General features: G+C 36.3%; 1 protein-coding gene across 4 annotated transcripts in view; it reads left to right on the top strand.

The window, feature by feature from the left end:
- SLK (STE20 like kinase) overlaps positions 1-27546 on the top strand; it is a 62094-nt gene extending 34548 nt beyond the window's left edge. The window contains exons 9-19 of one of the 4 annotated variants that reach the window (NM_014720.4): positions 485-1840; positions 3874-4004; positions 4225-4348; positions 6490-6669; positions 9129-9221; positions 16473-16602; positions 17097-17221; positions 18047-18235; positions 18801-18926; positions 19933-20046; positions 23887-27546. In NM_014720.4, the coding sequence (NP_055535.2) occupies positions 485-1840; positions 3874-4004; positions 4225-4348; positions 6490-6669; positions 9129-9221; positions 16473-16602; positions 17097-17221; positions 18047-18235; positions 18801-18926; positions 19933-20046; positions 23887-24033 (2715 nt within the window). In that variant the 3' untranslated portion in view covers positions 24034-27546. The remainder of the gene's footprint in view (positions 1-484; positions 1841-3873; positions 4005-4224; positions 4349-6489; positions 6670-9128; positions 9222-16472; positions 16603-17096; positions 17222-18046; positions 18236-18800; positions 18927-19932; positions 20047-23886) is intronic. The other 3 variants (NM_001304743.2, XM_011540401.4, XM_047426039.1) reach the window with 3 other exon arrangements.

A 27749-nucleotide genomic window follows, 5' to 3' on the forward strand; every position in this document is an offset into this window, starting at 1 on the left:
AAGATTAGTAGCAAGGTTGCTCGTCGCTGCACATTTTTGTTATATTTCCCTTTTTTTTGAGATGGAGTCTCACTCTGTCACCCAGGTTGGAGTGCAGTGGTCACTACAACCTCTGCCTCCCGGTGTCAGGTGGTTCTTGGGCCTCAGCCTCCCGAGTAGCTGGGACTACAGGCATGCGCCACCACACCCAACTAATTTTTGTATTTTTAGTAGAGATGGGGTTTCACCATGTTGGCCAGGCTAGTCTCGAACTCCTGACCTCAAGTGATCTTCCCTCCTCGGTCTCCCAAAGTGCTGGGATTACAGGTGTGTGCCACCGCACCCGGCCCATTTTTGTTATATTTCTTGTGAGAAGAATTGTTAATTCTTTAAATTCAGCAACATTTACTGAATAAAGATCTGAAATCACTGTAGGTCTGTAAACATTGTTTTGGTCACTCTAAGGTCATGTTTTAACACTAAAAATACATTAAATCTTTTTTAGCCAATACCTGCAAGTAAGCGTGCATCTTCTGACCTTAGTATCGCCAGCTCTGAAGAAGATAAACTTTCACAAAATGCTTGTATTTTGGAGTCTGTCTCAGAAAAAACAGAACGTAGTAACTCTGAAGATAAACTCAACAGCAAAATTCTTAATGAAAAACCCACCACTGATGAACCTGAAAAGGCTGTGGAGGATATTAATGAACATATTACCGATGCTCAGTTAGAAGCAATGACTGAACTCCATGACAGAACAGCAGTAATCAAGGAGAATGAAAGAGAGAAGAGGCCCAAGCTTGAAAATCTGCCTGACACAGAAGACCAAGAAACTGTGGACATTAATTCAGTCAGTGAAGGAAAAGAGAATAATATAATGATAACCTTAGAAACAAATATTGAACATAATCTAAAATCTGAGGAAGAAAAGGATCAGGAAAAGCAACAGATGTTTGAAAATAAGCTTATAAAATCTGAAGAAATTAAAGATACTATTTTGCAAACAGTAGATTTAGTTTCTCAAGAGACTGGAGAAAAAGAGGCAAATATTCAGGCAGTTGATAGTGAAGTTGGGCTTACAAAGGAAGACACCCAAGAGAAATTGGGGGAAGACGACAAAACTCAAAAAGATGTGATCAGCAATACAAGTGATGTGATAGGAACATGTGAGGCAGCAGATGTGGCTCAGAAAGTGGATGAAGACAGTGCTGAGGATACGCAGAGTAATGATGGGAAAGAAGTGGTCGAAGTAGGCCAGAAATTAATTAATAAGCCCATGGTGGGTCCTGAGGCTGGTGGTACTAAGGAAGTTCCTATTAAAGAAATAGTTGAAATGAATGAAATAGAAGAAGGTAAAAATAAGGAACAAGCAATAAACAGTTCAGAGAACATAATGGACATCAATGAGGAACCAGGAACAACTGAAGGTGAAGAAATCACTGAGTCAAGTAGCACTGAAGAAATGGAGGTCAGAAGTGTGGTGGCTGATACTGACCAAAAGGCTTTAGGAAGTGAAGTTCAGGATGCTTCTAAAGTCACTACTCAGATAGATAAAGAGAAAAAAGAAATTCCAGTGTCAATTAAAAAAGAGCCTGAAGTTACTGTAGTTTCACAGCCCACTGAACCTCAGCCTGTTCTAATACCCAGTATTAATATCAACTCTGACAGTGGAGAAAATAAAGAAGAAATAGGTTCTTTATCAAAAACTGAAACTATTCTGCCACCAGAATCTGAGAATCCAAAGGAAAATGATAATGATTCAGGCACTGGTTCCACTGCTGATACTAGCAGTATTGACTTGAATTTATCCATCTCTAGCTTTCTAAGTAAAACTAAAGACAGTGGATCGATATCTTTACAAGTAAGTGTACATGAGTCATTGTTTGGGTTTTCCTTTGCCATTTTCTCAATTCAGAGTTTATGTGAAATTGATGTCTTGAAAATAAAACAGCATTAAATTAATGTAGTATTAACAATATAAATTCTTACAGCCTATGAAAGCAATTAAAAAGAACTAAGGAGATTGTGGATCTAATCTTTAAATTTTGTGGTAGGATCTACCTATTTTTGCAGACCTGATGCAGATAAACAGTGTAATATGGTTGCTTGGTGTGATTAGGTTCCTTTATTGGACATATCTAGATGCAACATTAGCAAGAATCAACAATGTATGAGAGAATTAGAAATTGAAAGAATGATGTCTTTTTAAGCACATTTAGGGTGTAAACAATCCTTGATTTACCATTGGCCCATACAGTCACAGACATTGCTACTGCCATGAGAACCATTGTGGGGAAAACAAAACAAACACTAAAGCCCAGAACACTTGGAGCTTTGAGTGTAATTCTCAAATTTTAGTGTGCTTAGGAGTTACTAGCGGCTATGTAGAAGTCTGGAGTGGGTCCCAAGGATCACTATTTGTAAAAAAAAAAGATCCCACAGAGTTCTGATGCAGGTGATCCATGGGCTGCCCCTTGGAAAATACTTCCTAGACCCTCTGGGTTGATAGTAGCAGAAGAGAAGACAGAAAAGCAGGAACAACCTAAGAAAACTGACATAGATGGATCTCTAGGGCATGAGTGATTAGTCTGCCTATCTGCCCCAAATTCCTAGGATTTTCTTACATGTATTCCTAGGATTTTCTTCTTTTTTCAGTTTACTTTCTTTCACTGACTGAAATAACCACCACTCTGAAATTCATTCACTGACTTAATAGCCTCTTTTAAAAATGCAAATAACTTGTATAAGAATGAAGAAGATATTAATTATTGAACTTTTAGTAGGAGCTGAAGAAATGTGAAGTTTGGAGGTTAAGGTGTAGATAGGTGTATTTTTTGGAGTCTGCCAACTTTAGATTTTAGAGGAATCCTGGGTAGGGTACCATAGTCCTGGACTTTGGAAGAAGAGCATGAGGATCCTGGAAGCTTGGAGAAGAGAACAGTAAGAGGAGAGGATGCAGAAAGGTGATTGGAAGGTGCCAAAGAGAAACTGTTTAAAATTTGGATGCATTTTGAGTTTAGCATTTTCACATTCCATTTTTGCTTCCTCTGCCTTCTAACCCTTTCTTCCATATCAACACCCAGTAAGTATCTGCCCTGAACACTTAGTTTACCAAAATGTATTTGTAGGAGTCTTATATGTCTGTTATTTCTGTTTGCATTTAAATGTTTTTGGATACCAGTTGAGGAATGAAGAGTTTAGTCTTAATAAAGAATTTTAGGTCATAGCTAGCAGCCAAATCTGGTACTTTTGGGTGCAGCAGAGGCACTGTCTTTCTAGTAACCCTAAAATCATACATATATCTCTGGCCCTGAGATGGAGGGAGGGGCTGTCGATATTATTGTTACTGATTAAGTAGATTTTGATCCCCAGTGCTGGCAGTGTTTAAAAATTACCTGAGAGCTTTTTCAAAAAAAAGAGATTTCCAGCTACCCTCAGACCTGTCAATTTAGTTTTTTTTTAAGAGATGAGCCCCACAAATTCATTTTTAATTGTTTTGTCAGTGAAAAAGCAGAGGTATCTGAGAAACTACAAATTGAAAAGATGAAAAAAAAGGATAACATGTAAAGTTCTACTGATTAGCTATGTGAACTGCTCATCACTTATGCCTAATTATAATGTGTCATAAAAGCTATACATGAAGATGATCAAAATGCATACTTTGAAAAAATTTGATTTCATCTGTAAAGACGTGTAAGTCAGATGACGTTTAAGGTGTTATAACTGGTTCCACAGATGAGTCTATTGCTTTATATTTATACTTTCTATGTGTAGTCTGCATGGCTGTTCAGTTGTTTTGTTTTAAAAAAGAAAGAAATGTTTAAGGAAGAAGAAAATGTTTTCTACCTCCAGTATTCCTTGTACAAAGCCTAACTAAAATAAAATCTCACTCAGGAAACAAGAAGACAAAAGAAAACATTGAAGAAAACACGCAAATTTATTGTTGATGGTGTAGAAGTGAGTGTAACAACATCAAAGATAGTTACAGATAGTGATTCCAAAACTGAAGAATTGCGGTTTCTTAGGTGAGTAGAGAAACAACGTAATTAAAACTGGTTTGTGACTTCTTTTCAGTCTCTGAAAAGTCAGAAGAATAGAGAAACAAGGGTAAATTATTGGCTAATTTTTTTTTATTCTTTTACTACCGTTCCACTCGAAAGAAAATTTTTAAAGCTTTAAAAAAAAACGTATTTCAGAAGTGTAATTTTTGCTGTCTTCTCTATCATTACCATTAAATTTTATCAGACGTCAGGAACTTCGGGAATTAAGATTTCTTCAGAAAGAAGAGCAAAGAGCCCAACAACAGCTCAATAGCAAACTACAGCAACAACGAGAACAAATTTTCCGGCGCTTTGAGCAGGAAATGATGGTAAAGTCTGATTGTTATACCATTTTATATCATTTTGTGTTAATAATGACATTTACTGCATTAAAAACAGACAAACAAAAAAGGTTGTAGAACTTGTTCTCTGATTGCCAGATTTCTCTAGCTTTGTGATTTATTTCTGGCATTTTTACCCTTTTGGTGTTCTGGATGCCTTTTATTGATTTATTCTTTTTTCTTGAAAGGATTTTCTATCCCAGTCTACCTTAAGCTGGTTTATGGTGTGATGGGTTGTTTTTTCTCTCATGAAAACTTATGAAGCCAGTAAACAAAGTTCCTAGATTTGCCTATTGCTGGGTAATTTTTCAGTGCTCTAATTCGATCTTTCAGATTTGGAATCCAAGATTTTAAGCCAGTTTAGAGCAATTGCCTTCAAACCTAGCTGAGCAGTAGGACTCCTCAGGGGCTTTTTAAAAATGTGCTTTATTCTCTGGCTTCTACAGTTAAGCCTCCACATCTCTATTTCCTGCTGCTAGAGGAAATAGTGCTGACTAGTCCTGGGTAGCTGTCACTGAGTCCTTCAGTTTTTGCCTTGTGTCCAAAGTTGGAAAAGGAATTAGTAATGTAATATAAAATTTTTGTAATTTATGTTGACTATCTGCCTTAATGTAGGTTAGAAAAAGTATCATTTGAAATGTTACAGTACTCATGTTTTGAATATAGTCCTTGTGTTGACTTGTAATTTTAATTGATAAAGATTGTTTTGTGTGAACTGTGGATTGTTGATTACATGAGTTGGATCATAACTGAGATTTCCTAAGAAAATAGTGAACTTTTGTTCTCATTGAGTATTTTTATAGTACTTATATTGTTTTCCAAAACCTTATAAAATCTGTATTTCTCCCCCATCATACTTTCTAAAATGTTTTACTTTTCAATTTTTTTAAAAAGAAAACATCCATTACAAATAAGTAACTATACCTGTATTCAAAAACAGTGTTACTGAGTGTTATATAAACAGGAGTCTTGTTGCAAGAGTAGATTTATAATTCCAAAAGATCTGTTCCAATAGAATAAGGTGTTTATTTTAAGAATCTTAATGTGGAAGATTGAATCTGAAAATGACAATCTTATTATTAAATAATGGCGATATTATTAATAATATTATTTTATTAAAGTAGACCTCAAATAAGCTCTTTGATTTATCAAAAATTTTATTGGATAAATATTGAAATTTTTCTGATTTGCCTTACTACTTCACAACAATTAGCTATTCTTCTGGATAATCTAAAAACTTTGAACATTCTACTAGTATAATAGAAAACAAATTTTGGGTCGGGCGCAGTGCCTTATTCCTGTAATCCTAGCACTTTGGGAGGCTGAAGTGGGCAGATCACTTGAGGGCAGGAGTTCGAGACCAACCTGGCAAACATGGTAAAACCCCGTCTCTACTAAAAATACAGAAAAATTAGCTAGGCAGGATGTCACATGCCTGTAATTCCAGCTACTCAGGCGGCTGAGGCATGAGAATCATTTGAATCTGGGAGGCGGAGGTTGTAGTGAGCAGAGATTGTGCCACTGCACTCCAGCCTGGGCGACAGAGGGAGATCCTGTCTCAAAAAGAAAAAACAAACAAAAACAGAAAAGAAAAAAAAAAAGACCAGGCCCAGTGGTTCATGCCTGTAATACCAGTATTTTGGGAGGCCGAAGCAGGAGGATTGCTTGAGCGCAGAAGTTTAAGACCAGCCTAGGCAACATAGTGATAGCCCTATCTCTCCAAATAAATAAATAAATAAATAAATAAATAAAAAGATAAGTTGGTCATGGTGGCATGCACTGTAGTCCCAGCTACTTGGGAGGCTGAAGCAGGAGGATAGTTTGAGCCCAGGAGGCCGAGGCTGCAGTGAACTGTGATTGTGCAACTGCACTCCAGCCTGGGTGACAGAGTGAGACCCTGTCTCTAATAAATAAAATAGAAAAAAAATTTCCATGTTAGAAAAAAAGAACTCATTTTTTTGAGAATTTTCATAACATATTTTAGTGCATTTGACTTTTTCAGTATTGTGAAGGTTATAGTACATTACTAAATTTAAATACTAGTTATGTTCTCTTAGGAAACATCTTTACTATAAGGTATTAATATGGGTGATGGAAAAGTTATCATCTTGAGCTATATTGTTTTACAGAGTAAAAAGCGACAATATGACCAGGAAATTGAGAATCTAGAAAAACAGCAGAAACAGACTATCGAACGCCTGGAACAAGAGCACACAAATCGCTTGCGAGATGAAGCCAAACGCATCAAAGGAGAACAAGAGAAAGAGTTGTCCAAATTTCAGAATATGCTGAAGAACCGAAAGAAGGAGGTAAGTGTAAACTACTGTTTTTAATTACTAAAGCTTTTTTTTTAAAAAAATTGTTTTAAGACTATCTAAGGATTTAGGAATACTAATAATACTTGAGAGTTAAATAGCACCTATTCATTCTTTCATTCGGTCTTCTCAACAGTCATATAGAGTTGTCATAAGGTCAATCATTATTCCCATTTTACTGCCAAGAAAACTGGAGTAAGAGAGGTTTTAGTGACCTGTTTAAGTTCACCTCAAGAGAGGTTTTAATGACCTGTTCACAGACTACCCCTAAATATCCAGCTAAACCTTGAATCAGGTCTTCAAATTGAGTTTAATCCATCTTAAGGTCTACCATTGTCCTTAATGCAACACATTTAAGTCCTTATATAAAAGTATTTTTTAGAAAACTTACTATGTTGTGTTTGCCAGTGGCAGCAGTGATTCATTTTATTATTTATAAGTTATTTTTCATCTTTAATTCATACTTTTAACGATTTTGTTTGTTGATTAGCTTTATTGCCTTTCATGGGTATTGTGCCAAACAAAAGCTGAATAACCTGAAATTTGACATGCTATCTATAACTCATCAAATTGTGAGGTACTTCGAAGAACTAGAAGTGGAACATATCTGTAAAGTCATTTGATGAGAATGAGTTTTTTCATTGTTTCCTGAAACTGTTTCATATTGTTATAGAATCTGTTTGCAGTATAAAAGATTGTCATTGCTTCAGAAGGAAGATTTACTTATTATATTAGCATCTTTTTTTGTCCCAAATTAAAACTAAAAGAGCTTTACATGTAGGTAATTTTCAGAGATAATTTTATAATTTATTAACATCTTCAGTATAGGAAGACGATTTGCCTTTTCATGATATAAAAGACACCAGAGACAATGATTGTGATCAATTTTATTAGGGTTGGAACAAACAGAAACCTCAGCCAAACTAATAAATGCATTTTCACTTTTGTTACACATCTCAAATACCCAGATTCATTGACTTTAACATTTAAATTGAGAAGAAAATTGAATGTCATACTGCTGAATCTTAAGGATTTGCTTTAAAAAGGGTAGAGTCAAACATTAATAAATACAGTGATTTTATGATTTCTTTAGATAAAGATGAATGAAATGGTATGTGATTTTATTTGATGTGGCTTCCATTTCTAAAAATCACTATTTTATTACTATTTCTGATGTTTTATGTAGAATTGCTGTATATACTGTGAGGTATGACATTACTGGGGCTACATGTTAATTTTCTCTCAAGTAGTTTTTGAGATATTCTTTATCTCAGTGAAATTTAAAAAATTTTACAGATAAATATATGGTTTAATCCTAAATATAAAAGTCTCAGTTATTGTTTTTGTTTGGGGGTAGGAGAGTTTCAGCCACGAACATGTTTGAGATCGTGATATGCATATTTTAAATAATTACATTATGTATTTTTTTTTCCTTATTGCTAAACTTCTTGCATTTGGGGAGTCTCTTCCTTTTAATGGTGATTTGGTTTCATGAGGGATTACTGATGGGAAATTTTAAATACACGATGTTAAATCAAAATCAGTCTCTTTCACGGACCATCAATAGCATGTGGTGATTTGGAATCTGGTTTCTTTTGGTGCTTCTACTTGTAAACACATGATTGTTTTTCATAGTTGGATTACAGATCTATTGTTAGATGGAATATACTTCTAGTATTTTGAAATGATTAAAAGAAGGAGCTCTAAAATGTACTTCATTCTGTATTTTATCTGCTATAATAAATCATAGCTTACTAAACTTACTTTTAAGAGTGCTTATATTACCAATTTTTAAGTTGACAGGCTTAGCTTAACTTGTCAGCAAAGGGGAATATTCTAATCCTATTCAAGATCATCAGATACATTCATTTTTACCACACCGTGTATAAAATGGTGTGTTTATGAAAAAACTTAGTATCCATTTATTTCTCCTTTGTGTATTCTAAGACTTGCTTTCCTTTTTTGTTTTTGGCCTCATTAAGTAGATTTTATTTAGCATTATTTCTTTAGTATGATCAAGCCAATTATGAAATTTTGCACTTTTATAAATGGCATTAGCTTTCCTTATGTTCAATATTTCCAACTATGTCAATAGATACGTTTATAATTTTATGATCTTTCAACAAGGTCAGTTGAGTTTATCACCTGTAGTTCAGCATCAGTGCTGCAAGTAATTCTTCGCTGGTTGTCTTTGGACCTTTAAGAAAGAGAATGATACATAGGGTTATTAAGCAACTAATTAACCTTTGTGTGGTGTAATGTCCCTTTCTGCACTGAGATTATGCATGTTCTCTTCTTTCATTCTTTTTCACCAGACTAACACCTATGCTAATGCATGTTGAAAGGAACTTTTTAACAACTTTAATATTTGACTTGTAGCTTATCTGCTCTCATAAATGCTTGCTGTGGAGAAAGTATCATTTCCCCACCTCCTGCATGCTTATACACTGTAGGTTATAAATGAAGTGGAGAAAGCACCCAAAGAGCTGAGAAAAGAGCTCATGAAACGCAGGAAAGAGGAGCTTGCACAAAGCCAGCATGCTCAGGTAACAGCAGCAGCTTAATGCTACTAAAACCAGAAAGCACCATTTTCTCACAGCTTGATAAACCATGGTTGAAAGGGTAAATTTTAAGTGTTATTATTATATGATGTTGACTTCTCCCCATTCAAAAACTCCTGGAATCTTCTTTATTTAATACTAAATTCCTACTAATGGTGACATTTAAGTTGCTAATATGAAGTTAAGTGGAATGTTTGGAAAGTTGACTCCAGATGAAATAAACAAGTATATGAATGTATAATCCACTGTTATCTGATTTTAATCTTGATGGGAGCTTATAGTTTTAAGTAGTAATGCCAATGTTTGTTAGAAAACTTTTAGGACATAAAAATAGAGGATGGTATATAAGCTTTGTGCTTACAAAAAGTATGCCCATTAAAACGCTATTATTTCTATAAAGTGCAGTTAGAAGAAAAATAGCAAATGGTAACTTTAAATGGTAGTTCAAACATGTATTGCTTTTAAGCTTGACAACATAAGCAACTTTAAAACTGGATTTTAAATATTAAGTACCTTGTTTTTCTTTTTGGTTCACAATCCAGCAGTTAAACAAATAGACTATTTTTACCTATATAGAGTTTAAAGCAACCCAATCTAGGTTATGATAAAGTTAAGCCTTGTCATAAGATGGGTGAATTCTTTTTTTTTTTTTTGGTGAATTGGAGTCTCGCTCTGTCTCCAGGCTGGAGTGCAGTGGTGTGATCTCGGCTCACTGCAGCCTCCGCCTCCTGGGTTCAAGCGATTCTCCTGCCTCAGCCTCCCGAGTAGCTGGGACTACAGGCATGCACCACCACGCCCAGCTAATATTTTGTATTTTTAGTAGAGATGGGGTTTCACCATGTTGGTCAGGATGGTCTCGATCTCTTGACCTCGTGATCTGCCCGCCTCAGCCTCCCAAAGTGCTAGGATTACAGGCGTGAGCCACCACCACCGGCTTGGTGAATTCTTTACGAAGTGAGATAAATTAGTATTTGTAACAGAATTTTCTAGAATTATCTCACATGACAAGTCTTTCATATGAAGGAAGATGAATCTTCTGATTAAATTTATGCTAAGCCTGGAGGCAAGGATAAATGAGCTCAATTTTCCATTACATAAGTCAGTGAAAGGAAGAAGAGATGTGGATCGTGTATTTAATCGATCCTTTGAATTATCTTTTTAATTTGTTGTTTTATGTGATTTAACAAGTGGTTCCCAGACTTGTGGATTTTATAGACCCATAAAAAGAAACATAGAAACAATAAAAACCACTGGGGACCATGACATGGGCTGCCATTAAAAAAATTTTTTTTTAAATTTTGCTAAGTAAAGATATTTTAAAACTGCCATTTACTTGTCACCATCATTTCAAAGGAGAGAATATTTTTAACACCATGAAAAATAAGGAAAATATAATCTTAGAATTTAAAAATTAAATAAAACTAGCTTGTCTGAATAAATTTAGTTTGCTTTTGTTTTTTTCTTGCTATGAGCCATTGAAACATTTTTTCTTGGCCTGGTGTGGGTATTCCTAGTTTAAGGTGGTTAATAGCAAACGCAGCATTTACTATATGTCAGGCATTGTTCTAAATGCTTTATGTGTATGAACTTATTTAATCTGAGTTAATTATCCTTGAGGTAGTCTTATTACCCCCAGTTTACAGTTGAGGGAACTCAAGCACAGGAAGGCTGAGTGACCCTCCCAAGGTCACACACCTGGGTAGTGGTAGAGCCAGGATTCTCATCCAGATAAGTTTGGGTACATGTTTCACACACTGATTCGCTGCACCATGCTGCCTCTCATATTTAAGCTACCTACTTGTGCTGCAACTTAAACTCTCGTCAGCTTGACTCAGTGGTTCTTGGCCATGTCTTGTTACCAAGTGAAGAGGAAGTCCTTGCTGGCCACACATGTACTTTTGGTTAATTTGGATTTCAAACCAGATTAGAATAATATGGTTTTTGCCTTATAAAGGAATATAGATTTTTATTAATTCCAAAAGGCCATGTATCAAATTCTAAAGTCAAAACTGAGAATTAATGTTGAATGAATTAGGTAATACTATGTTTTAATAAGACTTTGTTGGTGATTTTTCATATAATTTTGGTAACAGGCCAGTATTTTCTGAGTAGAGCTGAAAGTAATCATAAATTCCTTCAGTAAATCTAATGAGGAATTTAGTAATCTAACAAATATTAAAAGTATTTCTATCTACTGCTTTAAGCGAAGGTACAAAAGCTTTATAACTTTACAGTCTATTTCAAACTTTTTTTGAGAATTCATAAGTAATGGTCATACAGTCATGGAGCTAGAACATATTTGATCATTTAAGTCCAGTGGTTTTCAAACTATACTAACAGGAATTTTGACTTTGAAAGAAGCAACTATGGGAGTCCCTAAGACGGCAAGAACTCTGGGCTGTGAGCCCCTGCTTCTGCTTCAACTCAAGCAACACCACTTTTGCTGTGGTTTATAAACTGGGATTTTTGGGGGTGAATTTTAAAAAAGGGGGTTCTACTAGCTTAAAAAACAACAGCAACACACTAGAGTTTGGAAACCACTGATCTAGTTCAAATCCTTCATTTTACAGATGAGAAAGAGGTCCATCTGTTAAGTGACTTGTTCCAGGCCTCAAGAAACTCAACATTTGTATAATTATTCTTTTCGTTTACAAAAAGTCATTCAGATATATTCTCACCTGGGAGGTGCATTCTATTCTGATCCACAGGGTGTTGCTCAGATCATGATTCAGTCTTTTCAGTTGTCATCTTGTGCAGTCTTCAACGCCCAAATGCAGGACGTAAGTCCCACGTGCCTGTGGGAGGATGGCTTCTCCTGTTTTACCTGCCTTTTCACATGTGCCTTTTCATTGTTGGCTTCATTTGCCAAAATCTAGATGATTGATACATGATAATGTTTGTAATGACAATAATAGTGATAACCTGACTTTAGACTTCAGTATTCTTCAGAGTTTTCACATTTGGTTCTCATTGCCACCACCCTAATATAGGGATGGAGTCATATAACCATTTTACAGATGAAGAAATTGAGGCACAGAAGACTGTGATCTGCCTCAAGTCACATAAGAGATTAACGGTAGAGCTGGAACTAGAGCACTTTTAACACGGTGTTCTGTCTACCCCGCCACAAATTCTAATTTGGGATTTTCATGTTTCTCAAGAAAATAAAATACCCTCTCAATAGTATAAGCTTTGCACATGTGAGAAATTGAATGCTGTGATTAGATTTTTATTTTCGTGTGAAGTGACATTTTGATTGCATATATGTTTATGTAGATGTTTTAATTATGGATATGGTCAGAAAAGCCATGTTAAAAGTAGTGATTTTCATTCCGTTTAACTCTATTTTCCATTTATTCAAGTAGTCAATAATGAATAGTGAGTTTCTATTCTCCTTATTGTAGTTTTAAGTTAAGTTGGAAATTCCAAGCTGTATTCTTTCTTGCAGTTTCTATAGGGAAATAACTAGCTCATTTAACACTGTAATTTTTGTTTGTGACGTCTGATATATACAACAGGAGTAGATAGAATACAGCTTGATTTCAACCCCTCCTTTTTCCTCTCCTGAAATTAGACTTGTTTTTTATTATTGGCAGCTGTTTGACTTTTTACTGTTTTCTAAGAGAGTAAGTAAAACATTGATTTTTAAAAGGAGAGGGAGAAATTATGAATTACGATCACTTTTCTGATCATTACCATTTTTAGCCTTTGTTTTCATTTAAAATGATCAAATTCTATACAAATAGCCCAATATATCATAACCCTTTCTTACAGTTTTCTAGACCCCAAAGTTATATTTTTAATGTTTATAGTTATCTGATTAATATGATAAAATTGTTTATCCACATTTAAACTTGTACTTTTAAAGGGCACTCATTTTACAATTTATGTGTTTACTTTAAAAAATGATTTTTGGCCTTAATAATTTGGGTTCTTTTGTTGTTGTCTTTTATTTGTTAATCCAAGTGATTAAGTTCATCTTTTTTTTTTTAAGGTGTGTTTGTGTAATCTATTTGAAATGTGAGTGCTCTTTTCATACCTGAAAGTAATTTCTAATTATAAATTCCATGTGAATGTTATTGTATTTGGCTTTTGAAGTTAGGGAATTTAGTGAATGTGTAATAACATTAACATTTTGTTTGTTTTGAGGTAATGAAATATATTGATTAGTGTGTAAGGGACCTTTTCAGATAATTTTTAGCTTTAATATAAAAAATCCTTTATACAGTGTCCGACTACATAGTCATCCAGATTCTGCTTAATTTTTCAAGTCTACAGCTCTGTAAGGCAGCTGGGTTCTTTGCTAACTCTAATTGTTAGGACTTGTATACACTGGACTTATATCTGCCTATCTTCACTTTTACCTGTTGATCCCTATCTTACTTCTGGAGCCACACAGTGCTAGTTCTGCCTGCTTCAGTATATAAACAGTCATAGCTCCTCTTTACCCTTTAGGAGTTAGCTGCTTTAAGGAACACTTCTCTAGTTCTTTCAGGCAGTCATTGTGAGGCATGGTTTCTGAACCCTTTATTCCCAGCTTTGAGTTTTCTGTGGTTTACTTTTGAACTTTTAAAAATGTGATACTAAGGGAAGGGACCCACTACTCTTTATGTGGACTGAGACCAAGACTGTTGATACTTGGGACCAATTGAGTGGAAGCTCCTTGAAGGCAGAACTCTCTTTCATTAATTTTAGTAACCTTCTAAGTAGTATAGTGTCCACCATTTACTAAGTGCTTAATAAAGGTTTTCTTTGAATTGAACTCTTACTGTGTTTAATTTAGACATAAATACAGTAATATGAACAAAAATTGCATAGATGAGAAATTACATTTACTGTTTTAGTGGCACTGGCTTATATTTACCTTTTTTATTTTCCCATAAGTATTTATTCACCCCATCCTTTACTTTTGTGTTTGATTTTTTTGTGCCTAAATGTAAGATTTATATTTATGCTAGTTAATTTAGACCCATTGTTTCTGTCTACACAGATTTTTTTTTTAATCCTGTATGTAAACCAATGATAAAAATGTTGAACAAAAGAAAACCCTTTGATATTTTTGCAGGTTATGTTGTTTATTGAACAAGTTTGTATATAGAAATTTTACAGTTGAGGCTGGGCGCGTTGGCTCACGCTTGTAATCCCAGCACTTTGGGAGGCCGAGGTGGGCGAATCACAAGGTCAGGAGATCAAGACCATCCTGGCTACCACGGTGAAACCCCGTCTCTACTAGAAAATACAAAAAATTAGCTGGGCGTGGTGGTGGGCGCCTGTAGTCCCGGCTACTCAGGAGGCTGAGGCAGGAGAATGGCATGAACCCGGGAGGCGGAGCTTGCAGTGAGCCGAGACCGTGCCACTGCATTCCAGCCTGGGTGACAGAGCAAGACTCTCTTTCAAAAAAAAAAAAGAAAAATTTTACAATTGAAATTAGAGAAACAGTTTAATTTTGTTACAAATAGTAGGAAAAAGAAAAGCTTGAACAACTTTGTTATAACTACTTAAAAGATAGGCTTGGAGATTTTGCATCTCTTAATTAAAACTCAGAAGCCCTTATATTCTAGATAGTTGAATTTAAATATTCATTGAAAATTTTTTCAATGATAATTTTCTTAATGATAAAGTTTTACAGGTGACTGTAGCCAAGTTGGTAATTGCATTTTATAGAGGCATTCATTAGTCTTTTCTTTCTCTACTATATATGTATTTATGCTAAAATGCAAATGATGATGCAGATGAAACAGCAGCATTTACAACACCAAATTAGTTCACTCTCTGACATGAACTGTGTCACCTCCAGAGATTCAGGATGGTAGCAAGCCAACCATCCTGAGGAGTGGAGTGAGACTCTCTGTGCATTTGAGGAGCTGCCTGGCAGTGATCCAGACCTCATCAGACTCTGAGGCCTCAAGAATAGTTCCAAAATGCATCTTAGGTTTTGATGTTCTCGAGGATGTGCAAGAGGGGGGATTGCAAGTGAAATTCTGCTTCAATTTTAAATTCTAAATCCACACAAAAATTGATTGAATAGTCCATGAGCCAATCACCACCTGCTGTAACTGCCAAGAGAGGGATGGACAGATCCAAATTTACATTTCTTTAATTTGGATGCTGTTCCTTTTCTTCTGTAAATGTATGATTCTAGCAGAAAGACCATAAGTCACTTTAACATTTCCTTTTTTTGCACAATAATTGAAGGATGTTTTTCTAAAGCAGAAATTTGGCATTCGGGTAGATAGTATGTACTCAATAAATATTTGTTGAATGAATTAGTGAATCCGAAACATGTTTATAGAATTCTGTGATTATACAAATTTTCTTGATAGATTTATAGTATGTAACTCACTTTCCTATCTCCAGTTTGCATTTCTCTAGCAATGCATTCTCATTAATTTCTCAAACTATTGTTCTTCTTTTTAGGCACATGCTGTAGATACAGAAACTATCTTCTTCTGTTAGGATAGCCATGATATTTCTTCCTAAAATTCTTCCTCTTTAGTTCCCCAAATTCTGATATCTGTTTTACCTATTAGCTCTTAATTGCCTTTTTTCCTAGAGGGCCTTTCTTTTTTATTTTGAGATGGAGTCTCACTCTGTCACCCAGGTTGGAATGCAGTGGCATGATCTCAGCTCACTGCCACCTCCACCCTCTAGATTCAAGCAATTCTCCTGCCTCAGCCTCCCTAGTAGCTGGGATTACAGGCACCCGCTACCACATCTGGCTAATTTTTGTATATTTAGTAGAGATGGGGTTTCACCATGTTGGCCAGGCTGGTCTCGAACTCCTGACCTCAAGAGAACCACCCGTGTTGGCCTTCCAGAGTGCTGGGATTACAGGCATGAGCCACCACACCCGACACTTAAAGGGCATTTCTTATTTATCCTTGTTTTAGTCACACCATAGTGGAATGAGTAATCAGTTTTAGAAGCTGCAAATTTACCATTCTCTCAAAGATGCTAGTGTAATAGGGCACTTTAATTATGAGTGGGCTATATGCTTATTCTGTATGTATCCTTCTTAGTGAGTTGAGAATATTATGTATTCTAATGCTTTTTTCTTAGACTGAATTGGGTGACTAAATACATTTGTACTATATAATTTTAGTGATTTTAAAATCCAGCTAACTTTGCAAACTTGGTTTGGAAATCTTGTTAACCACTAATATATACAGCCATATAGATAAATGGATGTTTAGTTCATTAGATACTTATTAACTGACAATTAACTGTTTTTAATAGGAACAAGAGTTTGTTCAGAAACAACAGCAAGAATTAGATGGCTCTCTGAAAAAGATCATCCAGCAGCAGAAGGCAGAGTTAGCTAATATTGAGAGAGAGTGCCTGAATAACAAGCAACAGCTCATGAGAGGTAATTTTTTTAAAATTAAGAAATACTGCAAAATGTAGAATTCCTTATGACAGTAGAAGTGAATGTAAACATATAACCCTTAAAATTTCTTCTTGCCCTGATGATGCTGGAAATATATCTGAATAATTTTGTGTACTCATTATGCCTTATAGTTGTTAGTATACCTAATGGTCGTGTGTTAGAATGGGATTTAAAGTACTTATCTTCCCTAACAAATTAGCTTAGATTTTTTTTTCTTTCTTATTAAGATGATTAAATAGGATTTTGGTGTTCGGAGTAGGACATTCTCTGTTTATACGACATTAGAACAGTCTGGAAAGAGGTAATAGATATTGCCTTACATTGGTTACAGTTGCACTTGGACAGCTCAGAATGTCAACATGTGTGTACGAGTTAGTGTATTTAGAATACTTCTATGTAAATATTAAAATGAAGAGCAAAGTACATTAGTAAAAAAAGAGCAAAGTGACATTTTGAAAACTGCTGTCTTCTAGCTCGAGAAGCTGCAATTTGGGAGCTCGAAGAACGACACTTACAAGAAAAACACCAGCTGCTCAAACAGCAGCTTAAAGATCAGTATTTCATGCAAAGACATCAGCTACTTAAGCGCCACGAGAAGGTTAATGAAAGGAAAATTTCTTCATTTTTTTGTTCGTTTTAAAGTTTGCAAAGCTATTTAGTTTTGAAACTTAAGTTTCTTAGATAATGAATTTTAGATTTCCTTTCTGTCTTTTATCCTACAATTTCTTGGATGAAGTTTGGAGTAATTAATTGTATCTTGATCATGATTGCAAACTTCTTTTCTACAAATTATAAGGAAAGTAACTAATTACAATGCTTAAAGACGTTTTACACCTTGTAATCTTCATCTCGGCTCTCAAAGGTAGCTATTTTGGCTCTATTTGTGGTTCAAGTATCTTAAAGTATGGACTCCTTGTACTTATTAAGAGTTGCAGTATAAAACTCTCATCACTAATAACTTTCTTTTCTTTTTATTCTTTTGAGACAGAGTCTCGCTCTGTCACCTGGGCTGGAGTGCAGTGGCACTCAGTCATAGCTCACTTAACCTCGAACTCCTGGGTTCAAGGGATCCTCCTACCTCAGCCTCCCAAGTACATTCATGCACCACCACACCCTGCTAATTAAAAAAAAAAATTTTGTGTGTGGAGACAGGGTCTCACTATGTTTCACAGGCTGGTCTCAAACTCCTAGGCTCAAGTGATCCTCCTATGTCAGCCTCCCAAAGTGCTGGGATTACAGGTGTCAGCCACCAGACCTAGCCTAACTTCTTACAAGTTATTTTGTGCCTAGTATTTTGCTGGTCACTGCAACAAGGGAGAGGGTAATTATAGGAAACAACAATAACAAAATGACATATTTGAATATGCATGTGGGTACTGACTATTGTTTCTGCGTCACTGGATTCTATTTAAAACTTTCATAGGAAACAGAGCAAATGCAGCGTTACAATCAAAGACTTATTGAGGAATTGAAAAACAGACAGACTCAAGAAAGAGCAAGACTGCCCAAGATTCAGCGCAGTGAAGCCAAGACTCGAATGGCCATGTTTAAGAAGAGTTTGAGAATTAACTCAACAGCCACACCAGATCAGGACCGTGATAAAATTAAACAGGTAAATATGCAAGTTAGTCTCTTCTCTTTTAGGTTTAAAATTTTTGAATGACCATTAGAAGTTCTACAAAATTCCTTTCTTTCTAAACAATTAGAGCCACCTTAGGCTTGTTGATGTTCACTTTAATTCTGTGGGCTGGGACTATAGATACATGGCATATACCAATTAGTCTTCCCCAGGATGGTGGTCACAGAGAGCAAAGCCCTTCCTCCTATACCCCATACCAGCTCCTGAGCTAGACTGGTCCTAAGACCAGCCCTGGGAATGAGATGACTCGGACAACTTTTCAAGTCAAGATATATGGCCTCACTGTGATACTTCTGTAGTCATGGTCACACACACAAATTAACTCAGATCACTAAGCAGATAGGAGGATCAAGGTTTTAATCAGAAGTTCCTGCTCTTCTCTGAAGCTGTGATGTGGACTCCAGGTTTGAGTCTCAGCATATTATTACTTGTAGCTTCAGTTTATTGTGCCTTGTTTTGTTAAATTCCTTTATATCTTCAGAATATATAGAAATCACATGCTTCTGAACTATAGTTTATCTTTTTTTCTTATTTATAGTTTGCTGCACAAGAAGAAAAGAGGCAGAAAAATGAGAGAATGGCTCAGCATCAGAAACATGAGAATCAAATGCGAGATCTTCAGTTGCAGTGTGAAGCCAATGTCCGCGAACTGCATCAGCTGCAGGTCAGATACAGAAGCCTGACAGCAAAGCCCATAGGATGCGGCAGCACAAGTGGCTGCTTTTGAGAGAACAGTAGCTAGCCAAAGTCAACTGCATCATACACGAACATGCTGGGTTTGAGAGGTTCTGTTTTTTGTACAGATCCAAATGAAGATCAGTTTGGTATCATAGGCACTTGTGTAGATTATATATAACCATGATTAATGTAAACATAAAGCTAAATTGTAACCTACGAAATTGAGTCTTTCAAAAGCAGTATTGAGTATGGTTTTTAGTATATTTTGCAAGAAGATGTGGAGAGTTTCAAAATGATGTAGACAGTTTTGTTGTCATATTCTGAATTTTTTGTCAGATTCTAAATTTAAAATTTCTTTTCCATTTAGAGGGAAATAGTTTATTTTCTTCTAGGTTTTTGAAATAAGTGATAAGTTAAATATATGGGAATTTTTCTCCTAGGAAATTTAAAAGTTATTCGAGAGAGGGCTGATTTAGGACCTTACATAGAATGTACAGCCCATCTAAAATGTTTAAGATTTCAGAGTAGTGTATAAATGTGGGTATCTATATATTTGCTTAATTTACTATAGTAGAACAGATCCTAATAGATTGGCCTAATGGGCCAATAGATCTTTTACAGGAATAGATCTATTAGGCCAACCCTTTAGTACCAGATCCCACATTCTGTACTCACGGGTAAAATGTATGCAGGCTGCCTTCTGAAGTGTCAGTTTTATGAGCAAATCTTCTTAGAAAGGAAAAACAAAAGCTCAAGCTAGTTCTTTTTAAGTTCTTTTTATATGGTATGTAATAGTTCTAGCTTCTAAACTTGTAAAAATGAAGCTATGATTCATTTCCTAATTCATGGCCCTTGGTTTTTATAGAGGAAAACTTGAATCTCAGTAATAGCATGATATTTGATGAGTAATTTATTATTATGGAAGATAATTGTATTTGTGAAAAATTGCTTAGTTGATCTGAAATTTTTTTAAATCCCAACTTTATTTTCAGAATGAAAAATGCCACTTGTTGGTTGAGCATGAGACTCAGAAACTGAAGGAGTTAGATGAGGAACATAGCCAAGAATTAAAGGAGTGGAGAGAGAAATTGAGACCTAGGAAAAAGGTAATTTTAAAAGCTTTAATTAAAATGATATGTGTGTACTCGTCCGTCTACCCAGCTATTGGCTCTTTACCTACTGTGTCAGGTACAGTGTCAGGGGCAGGAAACATAGAGATGAAAAGACAAAGTTTTTGTCCCCAGAAGTTTTGGAATCTAGTGACAAGCAGTTAGGAATTGGTAGGGTCATTGCTCTGAAGGAGGTGAGTACAGGATACAAGGGAAAGGAACAGATTTTGTAAGCAGAGGAGGAGGAGAGCTTAAATCTGCCTGGGTAAGTCAGGGAGGGTCTTCAAGAGGAGATGCCTTGCAAGCCAAGTGAGTCTTGAAGGGTGAGTAAGAACTTGCTAAGCGGATGGGCTGATTGGAGTGGAATGGGATGATTTGAGTAGGGAGAAGAGAATGAGTGAAAAGGAAGCGTACAGAGAATTGTAGATCGTTCTCTGACATTGGAGTATGAGAGGGGGTGTGTGCCAGTGTGTAGTCATTAGGGAGGAAGAAAAGGAAGGAAGGAAGGAAGCGATGACAGCTGAGTCTGAACAGGTCAACTGGAGCCATATTAAAAGGCCCTGTTATTCTACGTAAACTTGAAATCTGGTAAAATAGGGATGGTGTCTTCTCTGTCTCACCCCTTTCCCTTGTTTGTGCTTGACACCCTATTCACCTGGTCTTACTGGCTAACCATTTCACCTGAGTTTTTGCTATCACTATATGATCTCTGACCCTTCGTTACTCAAACTTAAACCTTTGTTTTGGGGGGAGCTTCCTGCCTACTGTACATTTCCACCATTCCTTTCTTCCATCCATACAATCAGTCAAGGAAATATGTATTTAGCTATGTGCCAAAGGAAGTGAAATGACTAAATGAGTTCATAGTGTGGCTTTTTGTTTGTTTGTTTAGACAGAGTCTCACTCTGTCGCCCAGGCTGGAGTGCAATGGTGCGATCTCGGCTCACTGCAACCTCCGCCTCCTGGGTTCAAGCAATTCCTCTGCCTCAGCCCCCCAGGTAGCTGGGATTACAGGCATCCACCACCACACCTGGCTAATTTTTGTATTTTCAGTAGAGACGGGGCTTCGCCATGTTGGCCAGGCTGGTCTCAAACTCCAAACCTTAGGTGATCCACCCACTTGGGCCTCTCGAAGTGCTGGGATTATAGGCGTGAGCCACCATGCCCGGCCCATAGTGTGGCTTTTTAATTTAAATTTTCTTTATTGTTAAACTTTTTGAATAGGTAATGCATTCATGTAGTTTAGAATTCAAAAGGTACAGAATTGTAAACGGTGTAAAATCTCCTTTACCTACTTGCAGCCTAGCATCTGCTTCAAACACCCTAGTTGAACTAGTTGACAGTGGTCACAAGTGAGTTGCTAATAGTCAAATCCTATGGCCTTATCTAACTGTTCTCCTTAAAAGTCTTGTTTCTTAAAATTCTCCTCTCACCTGGCTTTTGTGACACAGCTCTGCTCATTCTCTGTGTTCTTTATCCCCTTTTGTCTCCTGAAATGTAGACATTTCTCAGTTTTGCCCCTGTAGTAAAGAACAGTCTTTACCTTGATGATTTTATTGCTAGTCATGGCTTCAACTGTTGCAGATAGACAACTCCAAAACTTAAATGGTAGCAGTTGTATAGAGCATGAATTGTAAAGTCATACAGGTGTGTGTTCAGATCTCAGTACTGACACTTACTGATTAATTTTCTCACTTACCATTTCTAGGCCTAGTTTTCCTAATTTGTAAAATGAGAGTGATACTACCTATTTGGTGTTGTTTATATAGCAGTTATCTAGTACCTGAGCTATAGTAATGGTTCAGTGAATGGTTGCTGTTGCTATTATTGTTTCTTGTTTTTATTATCAGTTTGGGCAGTAAGCGCCCATTTTCCATCTGGGTGTTATGCTCCTCCTCATTTCACCTAGGCCTTGTGACCTTTTTTGGTCACTGTATCTCAGTAGCACCTATACTGAACCCCAAACATTCTGTATCTGCTCTCCTTTCTTTGTTTTTCTTTGTAACAATTCATCACCACCAGACACATTTGTTTATTGTCCCCTCTTGCGAGTGAGAATATAAACTCCTTAAAAGCATGCCATGATCGCTTCATTTATTGATATGTACCCAGTTTCTAGAACAGTTCCTGGCACATTGTACAGATGACTACATACCTGTTCAGTGTTGACTAAAGAGTATAAACTCAGTAGAGAGAAAACCAAACTCAGCATCCTTTTCCTTCATCTCCATCTCACCTTTCCCCACTCACTGCAGGCCCACTCACTGCCAGATGTTCCTTCATCTCCATCTCACGTTTCCGCGCTCACTGCAGGCCACTCACCATCAGATGTTCTTTTCTGCATTCCTGTTCTCTTAACTGACATCTACGCTAGAAACCAGAATTATTTTTCATTTCTGTCACACCCTACATTCAATCAGGCGCCAATTAATTTGGACTCTTTTTCATAATGTGTCTCCTTTCTTTCTCACTGCTATCCTGGTGCTTGTTTAAATTATTCAGGAATTTCCTAATGGGCCTTCTAATTTCTAGTTCCCTTTCCTTTCTTCCCACTCGCCTGCCATCACCGGAGGATTTATCCTCAAGGACATCTCTTGACACTGTCATACTGATGTTGAGAAATCTTCAGTTCCATCAGAGTAAAATGTAAATTAATGCCTCAGTTTGACTGTGAAGCCTTCATAGTGCCACACCTGAGTCACAGTCACCCTTTCTAGCTTCCTCTCCCACTAGCCACTTTGTTCCCAGTCCAGGTTCCAGCCTTGGGTATAATGGCCACTCCTCATACCAGCTCCTCGGCTTCCTGCCTTTGTGCTGTGTTTCGGCTCTGTTTCTGGCATGCCTTCCCTATGCTCCCTATCAAATTCTTATCTTTCCTTCAGCACTAAGCTCATGTTTCACCTCTTTTGAGAACCCCTCCTATATCCTTCCTTCTTTTCCTGTGCTTTGTACCTCTACAGCACCACTTATCCCTGAATCACTTCTCCACAAAGTCATTGATACCTGTAACAAAATGCCATAAACTGGAGGCTGGGGAGTCTGAGACCAGGGTGCCAACACGGTCACGCTTTGATGAGGGCCCTCATTTGGGTTACAGACTGCCGACTTCTCACCGTGTCCTCACAGGGCGGAATAACAACTCTCTTTAGCCCCTCATGAAGGCACTCATCCCATTTGGAGGGCTCTACCTCATGACCTCATCCCTTCTCAGAGGTCCCACCTTCTATGCATAGTATCCGCACATTAGGGATTAGGTTTTTATATGGATTTGGGGGGCACAGACATTCACATCACAATGGTGCCTCTTACATTTCTCAAGCACTTATTTTTGCTCTGTATTATGGGGATAAAAATGATTCTGATTTAAGTTGTACCTTTAAACAGCTTATATTATAGTCTAGTGTGAAAGAAAATACAGGCGCATCGTAACTAAAATAACAAGTAGGCAGGGGTAAGTGCCATGTGGGAGAAACACATAATAGTTAATAATAGGTACCATATATTAGAGTGCATAGTATGTGTAAGTACATCATTATCACATTTATACTTCACATAGCAAATTATCCCTATTTTTACAGCAGAGGAATTGAGGAATTAAATGGTTCTCTAATATAGGGAAGTTAAGTAATGGACCCAAATTGTCCATTTATGTGGCTGAGCTGGACTTGCACATAGGGCTGTACAAAGCTTATGATCTTAAAAAATTGAGCAGGCGTGTCTTCTTGAGGATTATATACAAAGAAAGTGTTTTGGACAAGTAGTTTTATCTTGGCTGTCAGCATAAATTCTATATATAATACCAGCACATAGCAATTTCTTTTTCCCTTTCTTTTTAAGACACTGGAAGAAGAGTTTGCCAGGAAACTACAGGAACAGGAAGTATTCTTTAAAATGACTGGGGAGTCTGAATGCCTTAACCCATCAACACAGAGCCGGATTTCCAAATTTTATCCTATTCCCAGCTTGCATTCCACCGGATCATAACAAAGGGAAGCATTCTGTGCGTGGGTTTGGCTCTTTCAGTATGTCATTCTGTTCTCATCTTCTGCCACAGTCTCTCAGATAGCTCATGAAGACAATCACCTGCCTCACCTTCTAGGTGTTTTCCTTTTTTGTTTTTTTTGTTTTGTTTTGTTTTTAAGCAAAGATGAAGGGAAAACGAACTAAGACAGACGCTAGGCCATGTTGGCAAAGTAGCATCTTGGTGACTAAGGTGACTTTGTATATTCATCTTAAAAATTATGTTCTTTAGACACTGCTACCTGAAAACTGTTGGAGAAATAATGTTTAAAGTTATTTAAGAAAAACTGTTACATCACTAAGTATTAATAAATTCTTCTTACCTGACGTAACTTCTCAATGCCTAAATTCTGTAGTTGAAGCTCTGCTGCAGAGAGTTGGGATAATTTTCTTTTGGTGGATCAGCTCTCATAAAAAAGCTATGATTTGCTCAAATATGCTGTTGACTCAGTAAATGAATATATTTTTTTCTTTAAATAGGAACAACCTCTTTTAAAAGAGAAAAATTATTTCAGTGATTTGTCAAAACGAATTACCTCTTTTGGCATGAGCTAATAATTGAGGGTGCTAATTTTCTTAAGATAGTGCCTAAAACACTAAATTTCAGTCAAGTCGTAAGTAGGATTTTCTTTTTGATCAACAGGGACAAAAACATCTTTAGAATTAAAAACATGGTTGTTTTGGAATTTTTGCTTCTCTTACCGTTTGATAGAAATTTTCATCCTAAAATACATGTACAAAGTTTGGAAAGATGAAAAAAAGAGGTAGCTTTTAGATTGCAAACTGGAAATGTAAAACTCATGAAATTTAAGCAATATAGGTTTAGCTATCTGTGTTTATTTTCTAAAATAATACCTGAGCTGGTTAAATGATTTCTCTCCATCTTAGCTAATTCTGTTTAAAACTCTGTCAGAGGCCTGCAGGCTGTGAGTTATATTTATAAATATATCTTCAGAAATTAATCTTAAAAGAGGCATTAGTTCAGAATACTTTTTTAAAAGTTTAAATTAAATATTTAGGCACGTCAGGAATTACTTTTCCTTATTTTGAAATGAGGCTACTTATGTCTTGGTTTTATTTTGTTCCATGTTTAAATCATTCACTTTGATTTGAGTGGGAAAAGCCTGAAGCCTTTATCATGTGGTTGCTGGTGTGTGTAATTATTAATGAAATGTTCACTCCTAGTCCCTTATGAGGCTTAGAATTTCAACCACGTGTCAGGTCAGACAGTATTATAAACTGTACTTTGCTGTCTGAGACAGCACATTTGTGAATGATGCTTGCTGCCTGCCATTTTCAACCTATTCTCTCTTAAGAGTGCTAGGTACCAAATTGTGAAAGTTTGTTTTCAGTTATATTACTTTTGAGGCTGGTGAAAAATTTAAATGTAACTTTGTGGGAACACTGATTCATATTTAGAAAATGTAAATGTCTGTAGCACTTTCTTGCAGTTAATTTGAAAACTTTGGATGCTGAACCTTGTTTGTCAGTGATTTAGATGATTTAAAAATGCATGTGTGATTTGAATTTTATAATTGTTTTGACAAGCATAATTTACTTGGACAACTTCGTAGGTAGCCTTAACTTCTGGCCAAGTTTGTTTTTTATATAAATATATATACATATATACATATTATGTATGGTTGTAAATTCATACACTTATCACATGAATGTGTTACTGTATACAAAACTCTTAATGCTTTATTCTCAAATGCTGGGTTGAAAAATGTTTTGAAAGCCTTTTAAAATATATATCTTTATAAAGTAATATTCAGGATGATGATAAAAATTGTTTATATTGTTATGATAAAAATGACAGTATAATGTTGCCCAGTGTATTTAATGATTTATTTGAAGAGGGATTGGGAAGGAACGTCTTCATACCACTTTCTCCTTTGAAATTTTCAGTTTATTGACTTTTAAAAAATGAATACCTCAGGCAGTAGACATTTTTTTTCTAGTATCATTTAATTGATACCCTGTGCGCTAAATAGTGTGTGGTGCCTGATTAATTTGGTCTGAATATTTGATTCTTTCTGTTCCTTTCAACTTGACATTCAGATTATTGACTCAAGGAGAGAGGCTCAGAGTGGAATGGTTGGCGCTGTGGGTAAGGTTGGATCTCCCTTAAAACTGCCTTTTGGATTCAGTGTTTGTGCTTGAGTTCGCTTTCAAATATGACCATAATCGTGTGGGTGCAAGACTGTACAGTGATACATATGTAGAGGTAAAGCATTCATTTTAATACTTAAAGTTATATAAATCTTTTCAAAAAGTGTTTTGTTATAAAATACGCTGTTTGTACCCATACCAGCCCACCTCTTCTGAGGCCCTGTATTCAAATAGATGATAGTGATCTATCTTTCCTGCATGAAGTGTAGGTGGCGAGTGGGCGAGGGGCGCAGACTTCTTTGAAATCGAAGGGTACAGTCAAATCTACTGCTGATTTGGTTGTTTTGTTGCTGTGGCAGAATATGCCATGAAACACATACAGACTTCTCCGAACGTGCACCCTCATCAGCCACCTCCTCCCCTCTTTCCCTGAGTGCTGTGAACACAGCAGACCTGCACACTTCTGCAGATCCAGCTCCTACAGCTTGGGGCACTAGGCTGCCTTTCCTAGTCCTGTCAACAACCATACAGTGCGAATTGCTGAATTAGCTGCTATTCTATGTGGAGTCACATTAAGCTTTTTCTTATCTTTTTCTATGGGGAAGCTATAGGGTGGGTAAGGAAAAAATGTTGAATGCTTTTACTTTGCTGAAAATATTAGAACTCTCTTGTGACAGGATACAGCAAATTATAATTAAATATAAATTACCAGAACCAGAGCTACCTCTAAGTCATACTTCCTCAAGCACAAAGCTCTCAGGCATATGAGACCCACCTTAATGAAGGGTCTCTGATTTCTTGAGCATCAGCGAGTTTCAGAAGTGACTATTTTTTTGTACTCTTCTAGTTTCCTTGTAACTATACACTTTTTCCCATTCCACACTGTGCTTAAATGACAAAGACTCTTCTGAGAAGCCAAATTCTGTCCAAGTATTAACTAGAGATATTGTTGATTAAAGAAAATCTAGAACTGAAGTGAAAGAAGAGAGTTCCAGTTCTAATAGTCTTTTGATTAACAATTCTTTTCTGAGAAATGATTTTTATAAGAAATGGGGTGATTCTTTAAATGCTTTTCTTAAGTTGAAGGCACAACAGTTAATGGCTGTATTGTTGCTATTCCGTTGCTGACATGTTTTTGATAAAGCTTTAACATTCCTGCTACTAATTTTGGCGGAGAGTGTTTGCCAGGTTTCAATGTGGGCTGCAGCTTTTTGTGCTCCTTCTCTGGTTTGCAGTGTAATGAGTTCATAAGCTAAATTTTCAGAAAGAATTTTGTTTAAGATTATGCCTCTTATCTACTTGAGAGCAACATGTCTTTTCAATCATGGGATTGACACATGAAAAATAAAGTTATTTCTTAATCAATTTTGGGAAGCAGTCTTTTATTGAGAATCTTTGAAACTGGAGTGTCCTGCCTGAGAACACTTTGCAGTTGTTGGTCCTAGTTATATTGTAAAACTTGCAGTCCCCGCAGGTCTTCTGACCCTTCCAGAGTTAGTATTCCTAGCTGTGTGTAGTCCACAGCATACACGCAAACACACACACACTCAAATGTAGTTTTTAGTGAT

Source organism: Homo sapiens, chromosome 10 (genome assembly GCF_000001405.40).
Source record: "Homo sapiens chromosome 10, GRCh38.p14 Primary Assembly".
Taxonomy (NCBI): Eukaryota; Metazoa; Chordata; class Mammalia; order Primates; family Hominidae; genus Homo; species Homo sapiens.